The sequence below is a fragment of the Homo sapiens genome, chromosome 1 (genome assembly GCF_000001405.40).
Source record: "Homo sapiens chromosome 1, GRCh38.p14 Primary Assembly".
Lineage (NCBI taxonomy): Eukaryota > Metazoa > Chordata > Mammalia > Primates > Hominidae > Homo > Homo sapiens.
The window spans coordinates 212,227,717-212,241,078 of NC_000001.11; the positions used below are offsets into that span (position 1 = coordinate 212,227,717).

A 13,362-nucleotide genomic window follows, 5' to 3' on the forward strand; every position below is an offset into this window, starting at 1 on the left:
TTAGAGACTCTTCTGTTGTTTTTATATTCCCACCACCTCCACAGCACCTAACACACAGGTGGTCAGTAAAAGTGGATGGAAGGAAAGGAGGCAGGGAGGAAGAAGGAAGAAAAAGGAGAGTGGGAAAGAGGCAGGCACGGGCAGGCCCCCCTGCCTCCATGCCAGGTGGGTACCTGGAGAGTGACACTGTGCCCTCCTGGGAAGCACCCACACTCCTTTGATTGGGGGAAAACGATTCCATGTGGCATGTGCCTTTTGTCCAAATATGCCTTCTTCCTTCGCATTCTCCTTTCCCTCTTTCCCATCCTCCTTACCTGAGCACTAGTTGGGATCCCTCAGACCTTCTGCTATCTTTAACTTAGTCTTTCCCTCTCTTCCCATATACAAGATTAACATTTGACATTATTTTAAAAATAATCTGTAATAGATTATCTTTTCCTACAATCACACTCATTTTCCCAATTCCCTGGGAGATAATTCCCACAAAATTTGTGGTCAGTAATTAAATTCCTGACCACAATGAATCATGAGGAATATATACTGTGTTCAGAGGGATGGCGTGGTATCCGTAAGGGAGCATCTGCTGAAGGGAGAGAGAGGACACATGGGGGTTAGCCCACAAAGCCAAGGGGAGCTGTCCTCCAAACACAACCAACAGAGTTTAGCTCAGGCTTCAGGATCAAACTATTGCTTCTATTCTGTGTGGAGAGAACAATGACTGAATTGGCTGGAATAGAACAAAGTTGTTAAAGTGAACTTTCTCCACACCTCATCTCTAATCCCTAAAATTTTGACTTAAACAAAATTTTGAGTTAAGCAAATTTGAATTAAAAATTTTGAGCAGATACAGGGAATGAATGCAAGAAGCTCTTGATTATCTTCATGGTGGACTGGCTCATTTTCATTCCGGGCTGACCTCGTTGATATGTTCTCTACCACTTCTCCTTGCTGAGAAGTAGTTGGCGTCTATTCAAAGTACACAGGCCATTTAATTATTAATCGGAGCAAAACATTATTAGGGAAGTTAAACTGTTGAGTAGGTGTGTGTGTGTAAACATGTGGATACTTTCTTGATTATCTAGCTGTTTTGTTTTGCCTTTTGCCTTTCTGGGTTCCTGCCCCTCTCCATTTGTGGTGATACCTGTAAGGTGATTATGCCACTGAATTCCTAAGAGCTTTTTGGTCCCTCTCTCATTCTCCTTGGATGTGTGTGGAAATGTTTGTCAGCAGGGGCGGACCGGGGAGGGTTCATGTACACAAGAAGTGACTGACCTTGGCCGCTGAGTGGAGTGTGTATTTGTGACGAGGAAAGGGTTCAGTGTTTGTGTTTGGTGATGGTTTTATGTCCTGCTGTCATTAGAGAGGACTTTATAGGGGTTTCTGATGACCTAGGGCTCCAGGAATCATCATGATTATTTAGACAATGATTTTAATGGGCCCATATAAACTTATTCTGTTTTTATACTAGTAACAGAGAAGAAGATGTTGGAAGATTAAATATAGAGAAGGATGGGCTTTAGCGTCACTGTTCAGGGACATTGGGAATTATTCTACAGAATTCGATCCAGCCTATTCTCATTATTTCCTTCTTCTTATGACTTTCATTCTTTCCTTACCTTCCTCCTTTTCCCTTTCTTCTTCTTCTTTTTTTTTTTTTTGAAACGGAGTCTCTCTCTGCCGCCCAGGCTGGAGTGCAGTGGTGCAATCTCAGCTCACTGCAAGCTCTGCCTCCCAGGTTCACGGCATTCTCCTGCCTCAGCCTCCCAACTGGCTGGGACTACAGGCGCCCGCCACCATGTCCAGCTATTTTTTTGTATTTTTAGTAGAGACAGGGTTTCACTGCCTTAGCCAGGATGGTCTCGATCTCCTGACCTTGTGATCCACCTATCTCGGCCTCCCAAAGTGCTGGGATTACAGGCGTGAGCCACTGCGCCCGCCCTCTTCTTTTTTTCTTCCTTGCTTTCTTTCTTTTCCCTCCTCCCTTCCTCTCCCCACCTTTATTTATTTCTTTCAACATGTACTGCCTGCTTACTATATATTAGTCACAGTCTAAATGCTGGAGATGCAGAGATGAATAACACATGGCCCCAGCCCTCCTGGAACTCAGTTTAGCGTGGGAGGCAGATGGAGGCACAGATCATTCCAGTACAGTGGTTAACGATAGAGATAAGTACAGGGTGAGCTCAATGTAGGGGTCCCTAATCCAGCTTGGCTTGGGAGAGAAGGCAGGAAGCTTCCTGGAAGAGATGATGGCAGATTGATTGGGAGTGGCTGAAAAAGGAGCAGGGCTCAAGGCCTTTACCTGGCAGGCCAGGTCATTCACATGGTTTATGAGCACTGGATAAAGGGAATGGGATGAAGGGCTTTGGGGGTATGGGTCTTCCATGAGATATGACACCAGATTTTGATGTCACTGCATATGGTTAGGACCACAGGGGCAGGGCAGAAATGATGTCTACTACTGTGGGACAGTACTAGTGACTTACCTCTGAAATCTGGGGACATTCCAAGGTATCTGCTCAGATGGTTGATCCTGGGGAATCCTGGAAGAAATGAAAGCTGAAATGAAAGATCACTCTTGAAGGCCAGTACATGACATATATGTACTCAGGGGTGAAGAGTCATGTAAGGGGAAATGGGCAGTGGGTAGTCAAGGTGTGAATGAAGATCACTGCTCAATAGAGTGGGGCGGTGAGGCTTGGGGAGGTGGAGGAGGACTCTTGGCTTCTCTAAAAAAAAAAAAAAGGCCTAACTTGTGCTGCAAGTTTTACTGGATGCCCAGGACTCTGGAGGAGTTTTTGCGCCAGTAGACAGGCAAGTGGCCACAACAGTTCTTATGCCCCACAAGGGCAGAGCCTTACATTGGCAGCTCCCTGAGTTACTTGAAGCAGGAGACCTTTTGTAACCTCAAGAAGACAAGAGGAATTCTGTTGAGGGAAGCTTAATCCCTGCTCCTTGGAGATCTCGGCATGATAGTAGAAAGAGCACATATGAGCTAGGAAAACATAAGTATCACATCTGATGATACCAACTGCAACAATAGTAATAGCCACTGTGTATCTAGTCTCTACCCTGTGGCAGGGCTTTTCATGTATTACTTAACCCTCATAACTACATAATAATATATAATGATAGAAGGTACTGTCATTCCCTCCATTTTATAGATGGGGAAATCAAAGTTTGGAAAGGTCACAGGTAGGAAGTCATAGAGTCACATTTGAACCCAGGTCATTCTAACTCTAGAGCCTCTGATCTCAACTGCTGTCCTTACTGTGAATAAATATTCAGTGCAGCTTCTCTTTGACTTGACCATAGGACCACAGCCCACCTGAAATGGTAGAATAGAGAGACCCTAGAGACTGATGAACTGCATTTCTACAGCACTACTAGTTATTATGAAGATGGATAATCTAAAATTTTCTATTTCTCTAACATGTAGTCTTAGGGCACTCAATATTAGTATTAGCCAAGAACATATGATTTGAGGGGAAAAATATGGATTAGAAAACAATCGCTCTGAAGTCTACTACTTTGGTAGTTGTTATGGAATGAATGTTTGTGTCCCTCCAAAGTTCATAAGTTCAAGTCCTAATCCCCAACCTGGTGGTACTATTAATAGATGAGGTCCTGAGGGCAGAGCCCCATGATTGGATTAGTGCCCTTATAAGAACAGGAAGACAGACAGACTAGAGCTTTCTTTCTTGCTCTCTCTCCATGGGTACACACCAAGGAAAGTCCATGCAAGGACATAGCAAGAAGGCAGCCATCTGCAAGCCAGGAAGAGAGCCCTCACCAAGAATCACATCTGCTGGTACTTTGATCTTGGACTGTAAGACACCTCCAGAACTGTGAGAAAATTGACATCCGTTGTTTGAGCCACCCAGTCTATGGTATTGTGTTACAGCAGCCAGAGTTGACTAAGGCAGTAGTAGTTAATATCAGCAGCTGGGTGAACACACTCTCTGTGTGTGTGTCTGTGAACTAGATCCTCTTAGTCAAAAGGGTTGTTGACTGTGTCTTGAGACCCCTCACTCTCTATATTAGTTTTGGGTGTTCTTTTTCTCATTGGTATTTATGAATAATTTATGCAAAAATGAGTTTTTAAAAACCTTCGGAAAAAAATATATTAGTTGGTTTATGATTCTTCAACAGATCAGAAATTGGGCACTCCCTGTCACCTGTGGCCCCCAGGGAGGCATGCAGATAGCTTTTACAAGTGAGAGGAGAGCTAGGATCTGCAGAGACCACTGGACTGCCTGCCTCCCTCCTTGCTCTGGGAGTCCTCCATGGTTCTGAGGGAGGCACAGATAATCTCTACAAGCTGTCTGGGCTCCCAGGTATTTGCTACAGAAGGTCTCGTGTGTTCAGAGGACCTAAAGCTACGGTACCCTTGAGGATGAGGAGAAAGGTGTACTTTCTCCCCTGTACAGAAGGCATGTGGAGAGCTGTGGCTTGGGAGGAGAATACCAGTGTGCCTCCCACTTCCTTAGCAGCCGGGCCTCCCTCCCCAGAGGGGCTGCACCACTTCTCAACTAGTGGCAGCTCATGAAATCCTCAAGTAGGAAGTGTATTAGTCAGGGTTCTCTAGAGGGACAGAACTAATAGGATGGATTTATATATAAAGGGGAATTTATTAAGAGGATTGACTCACACGATCACAAGATGAGGTCCCATAATAGGCTGGCTGCAAGCTGAGGAGCAAGGAGCAAGTCTGAGTCCCCAAGCTGAATAACCTGGAGTCTGATATTTGAGGGCAGGAAGCAACCAGCATGGGAGGAAGATGTAGGCTGGGAGGCTAAACCAGTCTAGTCTTTTCACGTTCTTCTGCCTGCTTTTATTCTGGCCGCACTGGCAGCTGATTAGACTGTGCCAACCCAGACTGAGGGTGGGTCTGCCTTTCCCAGTCCACTGACTCAAATGTTAATCTCCTTTGGCAACACCCTCACAGACACACCCAGGAACAACACTTTGCATCCTTCAATCCAATCAAGTTGGCACTCAATATTAACCATCACAGGAGGAATCTGCAAAGGTCATTTAGCCCAGCGCTTCTTAGTCCATAAGGTTCAAGCATTTTACCTGGGAACTTTGTTAGGGAGGAGATTTTTTTTTTGAGATGGAGTCTCGCTCTGTCACCCAGGCTGGACTGCAGTGGCATGATCTTGGCTCACTGCAAGCTCCACCTCCTGGGTTCACACCATTCTCCTGCCTCAGCCTCCTGAGTAGCTGGGACTACAGGTGCCTGCCACCACGCCCAGCTATTTTTTTTTTGTATTTTTTAGTAGAGATGGGGTTTCACCATGTTAGCCAGGATGGTCTTGATCTCCTGACCTCATGATCTGCCCGCCTCGGCCTCCAAAAGTGCTGGGATTACAGGTGTGAGCCACTGCGCCCGGCTGAGAGGAGATTCTTATTCAGGAGGTCAGGGTGGGGCCTCAGCGTCTTTAACAAGCTCCCAGGTGATGCTGCTGCTGCTGATCTGGGGACCACACTTTGAAGAGCAAGAATTTACTCTATGTCAAGGTAGGCTACATTTCAGTGACCATCACAGTCAAGTGAATGTCCATCCTGATACAGAGAAGCAAATTCTCTTCTTCAACAGCTTTCTTACCTTGTAGAAGCTCTTACTCAGCAAGCACAAATCCCTTTAGTTTCATGCCCATTTTTTCAAGTTCTTCTCTCAGCAGAGATGGAGATGCAAAGTAGCCCTCTCCCATATCATAATCCTTAGTTATTTAAAGACTACTAAGTCAGATCTATTTTTAAAAGCACCACTTCTCTCTCTGTTCTTATGCCTGTGTTACCCAGGTTGGTTAGTAGGAATGAAACTCCTGGGGCACTCTTGGCTGAGGACTTGGCACTGGAAACATTCATGATCTGCTTATGCAGCTGGAATCTCCTCACATGCCCATATACTATTCTTTCTCAGTTCTCTACAGTAAAGGAATGGCAAAGTTATAAAAGTCAAAATCTGAAGAGGAGTGAAAACCTCCACTTAACCTTTAGTATCATCACTCCTCTTCTCAGAACTCGATCAAGATGTTATTCACAGGTAACAGTGACCTGGTTTGGATTTTCTCTTTCCTCCCTGGCTCTACATGTCTCATGGTCAAAAGAACTTGGAAGCAAAGACTTAGCCATCTACCATGGCCAAGCAAAGGAACCTGCATAACCCCCAATAGGCCTGGGCACAGTGGCTCACGCCTGTAATCGCAGCACTTTGGGAGACCGAGGCGGGCAGATCACGAGGTCAGGAGATCAAGACCATCCTGGCTAACACAGTGAAACCCCATCTGTACTAAAAAATACAAAAAAATTAGACAGGCATGTTGACGGGTGCCTGTAGTCCCAGCTACTCGGGAGGCTGAGGCAGGAGAATGGCATGAACCCGGGAGGCGGAGCTTGCAGTGAGCTGAGATCACGGAGCCAGACTCCGTCTCAAAAAAAAAAAAAATTAATAACCCCCAACCTGAATGAGAGTCCACAGGTTGGATCTGAAGTACCCAATAGTCCGTGTTCGAGGGTTCTATCCCCCTGAGCTCTCTGCTTTCTTTCTGCCCCAGAAAGGACTGCTGTCAGGTCTTTGCACGTTTGTGTGACTTTAAGTCAACATGTTTCCTCTCTCCAGGACACTTGTATTTTAAAACCTTTCTCTCCAGTATGGAATGAAATTTGTCCTTTGTTAAAGAAGCTAATGGTCCCAGGTGACAGGTTATTTTATGTATTATACCTGCCTAGGATGGCACAGTAGACATTGCCTACTAGAAAGAAGGTACTGCCACTTACAGGTTCACAGTGATATCCGGGGTGGAAGGGAGGACTCTTCCAGGAGAAAGCAAGGCATCCAGGAGGAGACCACCAAGAGGGCCTGTGTCCTTTGCAGGTTTCTGGGGGTGCAGAGTTATTCAGAAGTCTGCTGTTACCCTGACCCCATCCTCAGCAGAACTTCCTCCATCATTTCAGAAGGTAAAATGAGGCAACTAGAGCAAAGGATGAGATGGCAACTTCTGTTTTGCTTTTTTTTTTTTTTTTTTTTTTTCTGACAGGCAGTGTGTAGGGAGCTCTGTATGGGGAGTATGACTCACCAGTATTGGTCATGACTCTGGGCCCAGGATTCACAAGTGTTCCAAAATTAGCAACTGGCCGTGGTGTACACCCACAGAGCAGTTAGACATTTCCCATTGAAAACACTCAATGGGAAAGCTACAAGGATAAAGGGAAGGTTAAAAGAGCTGTAGATTATTACAGCTCTTCTAGTTAGCCTACGGAATATCTTCCTCTCTGCTTGTCCATTTATATTTCTCATTCTCTTTCTGGAGAACACATTCCTCTTTGCTTCAGCATTTAGTACTTGTTCATTCATCCATTTAGGAATTTTTTTTAATTGAACATCTTCCCTGTGTCTAGCACCGTTCTGGGTGTGAGGGAGGCATCAGAAATAAAGCAGTCCTTAGTCTCCTGGAGTTCATGGTTCAGTGGGCCAACCTTGGGCAAGTGACCTAATCTCTTAAAATTTCCTCATTTGTGAAATAGGCATAATAGGCCAGGAGCGGTGGCTCACGCCTGTAATCTCAGCACTTTGGGAGGCCAAGGCAGGTGGATCACCTGAGCTCAGGAGTTCGAGACTAGCCTGGCCAACATGGTGAAACCCTGTCTCTACGAAAAATACAAAAATTAGCCAGATGTGGTGGCACGCACCTGTTAATCCCAGCTACTTGGGAGGCTGAGGCAGGAGACTTGCTTGAACCCGGGAGGCAGAGGTTGCAGTGAGCCGAGATTGAGCCATTGTACTCCAGCTTGGGCAACAAGAGCAAAACTCTGTCTCAAAAAAAAAAAAAAAAAAAAAGAAAGAAAGAACGAAAAAAAAGAAATAGACATAATAATGTACCTGATTCATTGTATATATACAATGTATATATAGCACTCATCAGAGTGCCTGATGCTTAGCCGACATTTAATCAATGTAAGTTGTTAGCTTCTGTTGAGAAACTGGTGTGGGACTAAGATGATTGTTGTCCTGATTTGCCTGTTGGTGTCATAGTCAGATCTTCACCCTGGGAACTTAGGGCCTCAACAGTACCATGGCTGGGAACTTAGCTACAGTGGGGAGGGACCCAGAGATGCTGAGCTTAGTATATGCCTCCACTCCATTGGTCAAACTCGCTCAATCTAAAAGGAGCTGGGTAATCAGTGAGTGCTTGGTGGTGGTAATAAAGAATCTGTCTACGGTGTAATTCAATTTTGTAGTCGTTATCTTTTCCATTTTAGTGTAGGGACCCACCCAATCAGACAGCTGCACAATGAAAATAAAGGCTGGGAATGCCAGGGTGTGTCACTGGTTGTAGTCCCACGCTAGCAAGGGGAAAGTCAGGTTGCAAAACCAGCGCTGCCTGCCTTCAGTGGAGAAACCATGTAACCTCCCAGGCCTGCAGCTTCCCTAGGCCTCAGTTCCTTCCCTGGGCATCCTCCTTGGTGAGGTTTCTGGATCCCTGCAGGCACTGGTAGTTTTTGGTTTGGGTGCTCATATAAAACTCCTTACAAGTCTGTTAACACAATCTTATCTTACTGTCATTATTTGCATGTTAGTTCCTTAATAGGTCCTATTTCTTTCTGTCTTCCTGATGACCCTTCCAAGAGCTCCTTTAGGTTTGGAAAAGGCAGAGTAGATCCTCTGGCCTTCCCCAATGAGGACCTGGGTGGGTGGTGGTGGTAGTAGGGGGTCGGTAGACAAAGCCATCTTTAAGGAGGTGCCTTCTGCATCACCCTCCATTGTGAGATTCCAGGCAGGTGCCTTAAAATAGCTCTGCCACTAGCTGATCACTCAATCCCATTTACAAGGGCAAACCTTCTTCTGTCAGGGAGAAAAGGTTTAAACATACAGAGGGAGGTAACTGTTGCAGTAAGTAGCCTTAAAGCAAGCAGAGGGGCGCTAAATCATCTCTAAACTTCCAGGTCTATGATTCTAAGATCTTAATTATCCTAACTGGGAAGGAGAGAAGAAAAGAAAAAAAAAATAGGTGGCTTAGAAAGTGAGCAGAGAGTGTAAAGCTTGGAGATTTTTCTATTTGAGATTTGGCTGCATTTAGAGCCAGTTTTTAAGCATTGCCAGGTTCACCTTTGTAAAAGGCGTTTAGAAATCTGCCACTATCAGATTTAAATCAATCTGGCTAATTGGTGTGATTGGAAAGTTGCAGTGGGGCAAGTAATCAGATTGGTTCCGGAGCCTCCACCCTTTGCTGTGCCTGGGTGCTACCTCCTGCAGGGTAGCATATTCCCAATTTTTGTGGTTTTGCAGTGGCCTCCTTTCCTAAGCCCACTAAGCATTTTCCTGTTCTTTTGCAAGGTCTTCTTTTTGTGTCAGGGTGTGGTGGAGCCACACAGGACTGGCATGATATTCACCACTTGTTACTTATGGAACTTGAACATATTTAACCTCTCTGACCATCAGTTTTCTCATCTGTAAAATGAGACCACATTAACGTAGCTTATAGACTTACTATGAGAATTAAATGTATACATGTGTAGATGATCATATTAGACTTTAATTGAAAAGCTTTCCAGTAGGTGTCTTAGTCTGCTTTCTGTTGCAATAACTAAATCCCTGAGACTAGGTACTTTTTTTTTTAAAGGAATTTATTTGGCTGGGCGCAGTGGCTCACGCCTGTAATCCCAGCACTTTGGGAGGCCGAGGTAGGCGGATCACGAGGTCAGGAGATCAAGACCATCCTGGCTAACATGGTGAAACCCCATCTCTACTAAAAATACAAAAAATTAGCCGGGTGTGGTGGCAGGAGCTTGTAGTCCCAGCTACTTGGGAGGCTGAGGCAGAAAAAAGGAATTTATTTCTTACAGTTCTGGAGGCTGAGAAGTCCAGGGACAAAGGATTCCATCTAGTCGGGGCCTTCCTCTTATGGGGACCCTCTGCAGAGTCCCAAGGCAGCTTGGGACATCACATGGTGAGGGGGCTCATGAGAGAGAACCAACCTGGCTTTTTATAACAGACACACTCTTGTGATAACTAACCCACTCACACAATGATAACCTATTATCCATTAACCCAGGAATGGACTAGTCAATCCAATCATGAGGGCAGAGCCCTCATGACTCAGTCACCTCTGAAAGGCCCCACCTCCTGATACTGTTTCACTGGAGAGTGAGTTTCAACATGAGTTTCAAAGGGGACAGTTTCAAATTATAACAGTAGAATTATGTGCATGTCCAGGTGTGCCATTTAGTAGCTGTGAGACCTTAAACAAATTACTGTGCCTCAGTTTTTTTATCTGTAAAATAGAGATAATAATACTACCTACTTCAATGGTTTTTGGTAATGATTAAATGAGTTAATATGTGTAAAATGCTTGGCATAGTAATTGGCAGATGGTGTGTACTATGTTTTAGCTTTTAATATTATTATTATGCATATTATTATGCAACACACCCAGTCTAATACCTGGCACAGAGGAATGTTAAAAAAAAAAAAAAAAGTTTGAATCCCTGTGCTCTGACACCTTTAGCTCCAAACTTGCTGCTGCTACTCAGGATCTCCTTCCTCTCTAGTTGTCCTGTTTAGCTGAGCCTCTCTCCAGCTTATGTGAAACCGTGTCTTGGTAGCTGCTGGGCAATTAGGCATTCAAGGCCCATGTTTGGTGGCCTAGGTAGGCCAGCAGGCAAGTTCAGGAGGGACTGAATCGGTGAGAAGGACCAACAACTTTCACTGACCTCATGACTTCATTCCCTTTATTTGGGGTTCTAGCCTCAGGACACACCAGAGAGGGAAGCCACGGCGTGTCCTTCAGGCCTTCTCAGGAAGCAGGCTTTCCTGAAGGAAGCAGTCCCTAAAACAGACTTGCACCTCTACATTTTGTCAGCCCTGGCACATGCTGTAGGAGGTTCTGGGTTAGCTTCGATGGGGATGTTTTTTCAAGCCTGCAAACTGCAATAGGTGACAACTTCCAGTCCCAAGAGTTTGGCTGGCTCTGCGTTGAACACAAAGCTTCCACTTGCTGCTGAGGGCTGCTGTGCTCTGCCTGCCTTCCAGGGAGAGTTACTTCTGGAAGGCTGTCATGGAGGGAGGAGAGCTAGGCTGCCGGGCCAGCTGCCCACTACACTGGTTCAAACTGGCTGTGCTGGCTCAACAAGGAAAAGACAATCTCACTAATCAGCAGAATCAATCACAGATTAGGAGCTTACCCTGCGAAGGCACAGTGGAGGGTAAAATGGAACAGAAAACAAAGCCCATGTCCTCAAGGAGTTCGCCAAGCTGGTGGAGGAGACGAAAACACTTAAAGAGTAAACTAATAATAACAGGGTATCCGAAGTCACCAGTTTGTCCTTGCAGGTATCAGTGACCTATAGCACTCCTTAAACTCCTGTGGTTCTAGGTAAAACAAACCTTCCCAGCAGAGGCATAATACTACCTATTCTATACCAGGCATTCTTCTAAAGGCTTTTTAATATATTATTTTGTTTAGTTTTCACAGTGACCTTTTGTAGTAGGTGTTAATCTCCTCATTTTCAGATGAGGAAACTCAGGGTCAGACAGGCAAAGGGACTAACCAGAGATCCTCTAGGTAAGAAGTGATGGAACCAGGATCCAAAGCCAGGTTCTCTGGCTCTGGAGGCTGTCCCTTCACCCTCCAGGTTAAACTAGCCGGAGCCAGGGAGGGCGGCTCTGGGAACCACACTGGATAGGACTCCTTCCTCTCTGACGTTGTGGGGAATCCACTGTTGCCTGCTCCTGCCCTTGCTGACTAAAGGCCTCTTGTGTGTGTTGTGTTCAGTAACTTGAGGGAGAATCTGCTCAGTTTGTCCACCCACCACCCAAGGTAGGAATCCCTCTCAGGGAAGGGGTCTCCTGCCCCCTCATAGGCTTTGGGCCACTCCCAGATGGTTGCTTTTAGGGGAGAAAAGGATGCTAATCCAATCAGTTGTGACCAGGATGGTGGTAGTCACATGGCATAGGGGAATCAAATGGTTCCCCGTAACCATCTGATTGTTAGGAGGAGCTTGCCTAGTGCATGCATCTATAAAGAAGGATGTGACAGCTCCTTCCTCCCTACTTATGCTGTATTGCTGCTGGCTGTGCACTCAGAAGCCTTAAAAAACATACATGTTTGCACATAGTATATTTATAAGACTGTTAATAGTGAAAAATAAATGTAACTATCCAGCCATAGGGGATGTACCTAAACAACAGATTACCATATAACTGTTGAAATCAATGCTATATAAGTATACTTATTAACATAGAAAGATTTTTTTCAGTATGTTGCTAAATGTCAGGATCCACTTGAAAAACAGAATGAATAGTCTGATCCTATTTTCAGAAGGAAAAAATGTATATGTGTGTATAGAAAAACATTTTCATTTATACATCAACATATTAATGGAGGCTGTCTCTGATAGGAAGGATTTTAGGTTATTTAAGTTCTTTTTGCTTATGTGTATTTACATTTTTCTACAGTAAATATACATTTCTTATTTAATAAACCTGTTATTTTTAGAAGATCTAATGATGTTAGAAATAATCTTAATTTTATAAAAAGAATCATCTCACCTTAAATATGAGAAAACAAAATATCTGAATTTCTTGTTCTTTCTCCCTTTTTCCCCCTTGTTTTTGGTGGAAAGCAGATAGTATTCATTGTGGAGAATGATTCTAGGCTAGTAATTTACCTTAGAGCCATGGCATACGAGAGCTGGAAGAGATTTTAGGGATCATCTAGCCCAATTCCTTATTTAACAGATGAGGAAACTGGACTGAGAGGCTTAGCTAGTTCTATAAGTGCTCGGTAGCAAAACTTTGGTTGGAATCCAGGTCCTTGGACACAGTCCAGAGAATTTTCTTTTCTTTTCTTTTCTTTTTTTTTTGTTTCGAGACGGAGTCTCACTCTGTCACCCAGGCTGGAGTGCAGTGGCATGATCTTGGCTCACTGCAACCTCTGCCTCCTGGGTGCAAGTGATTCTCCTGCCTCAGCCTCCTGAGTCGCTGGGACTACAGGCATGTGACACCACGCCTGGCTCATCTTTTGTATTTTTAGTAGAGACGGGGTTTCACTGTGTTAGCCAGGATGGTCTCGAACTCCTGACCTCTGGTGATCCATCCACCTCGGCCTTCCAAAGTGCTGGGATTACAGGCGTGAGCCACTGCACCCGGCCCAGTCCAGGGCATTTTCTACACCACTATGACAGGCTGTTATATTTGCCTCGTTGACACATAGAGAGGACTGTAATCTTTTCGTGTGGAGGTAACAACTCTTAAGCGTAGAAAAGTTGTCATGCTGACCAGTCACTCTTCTTCAGTCACTATTCTACTGAGAGGAAAACATGGGTTTTAACTGATTGCAGATCCAATGTTGAGAG

General features: G+C 44.8%; 1 long non-coding RNA gene across 3 annotated transcripts in view; it reads right to left on the reverse strand.

Moving 5' to 3' along the window:
• Positions 1 to 13,362, reverse strand: part of LINC02608 (long intergenic non-protein coding RNA 2608) — a 72,020-nt gene that overhangs the window by 14,715 nt on the left and 43,943 nt on the right. For 2 of the 3 annotated variants that reach the window (NR_125982.1, NR_125983.1), the window contains exons 1-2: positions 6,787 to 7,020; positions 2,487 to 2,543 (exon numbers count right to left, since the gene is read on the reverse strand). This is a non-coding gene — a long non-coding RNA (long intergenic non-protein coding RNA 2608). Of the gene's footprint in view, positions 1 to 2,486; positions 2,544 to 6,786; positions 7,021 to 11,190; positions 11,261 to 13,362 lie in introns of those variants that run through there. The other variant, NR_125984.1, reaches the window with a different exon arrangement.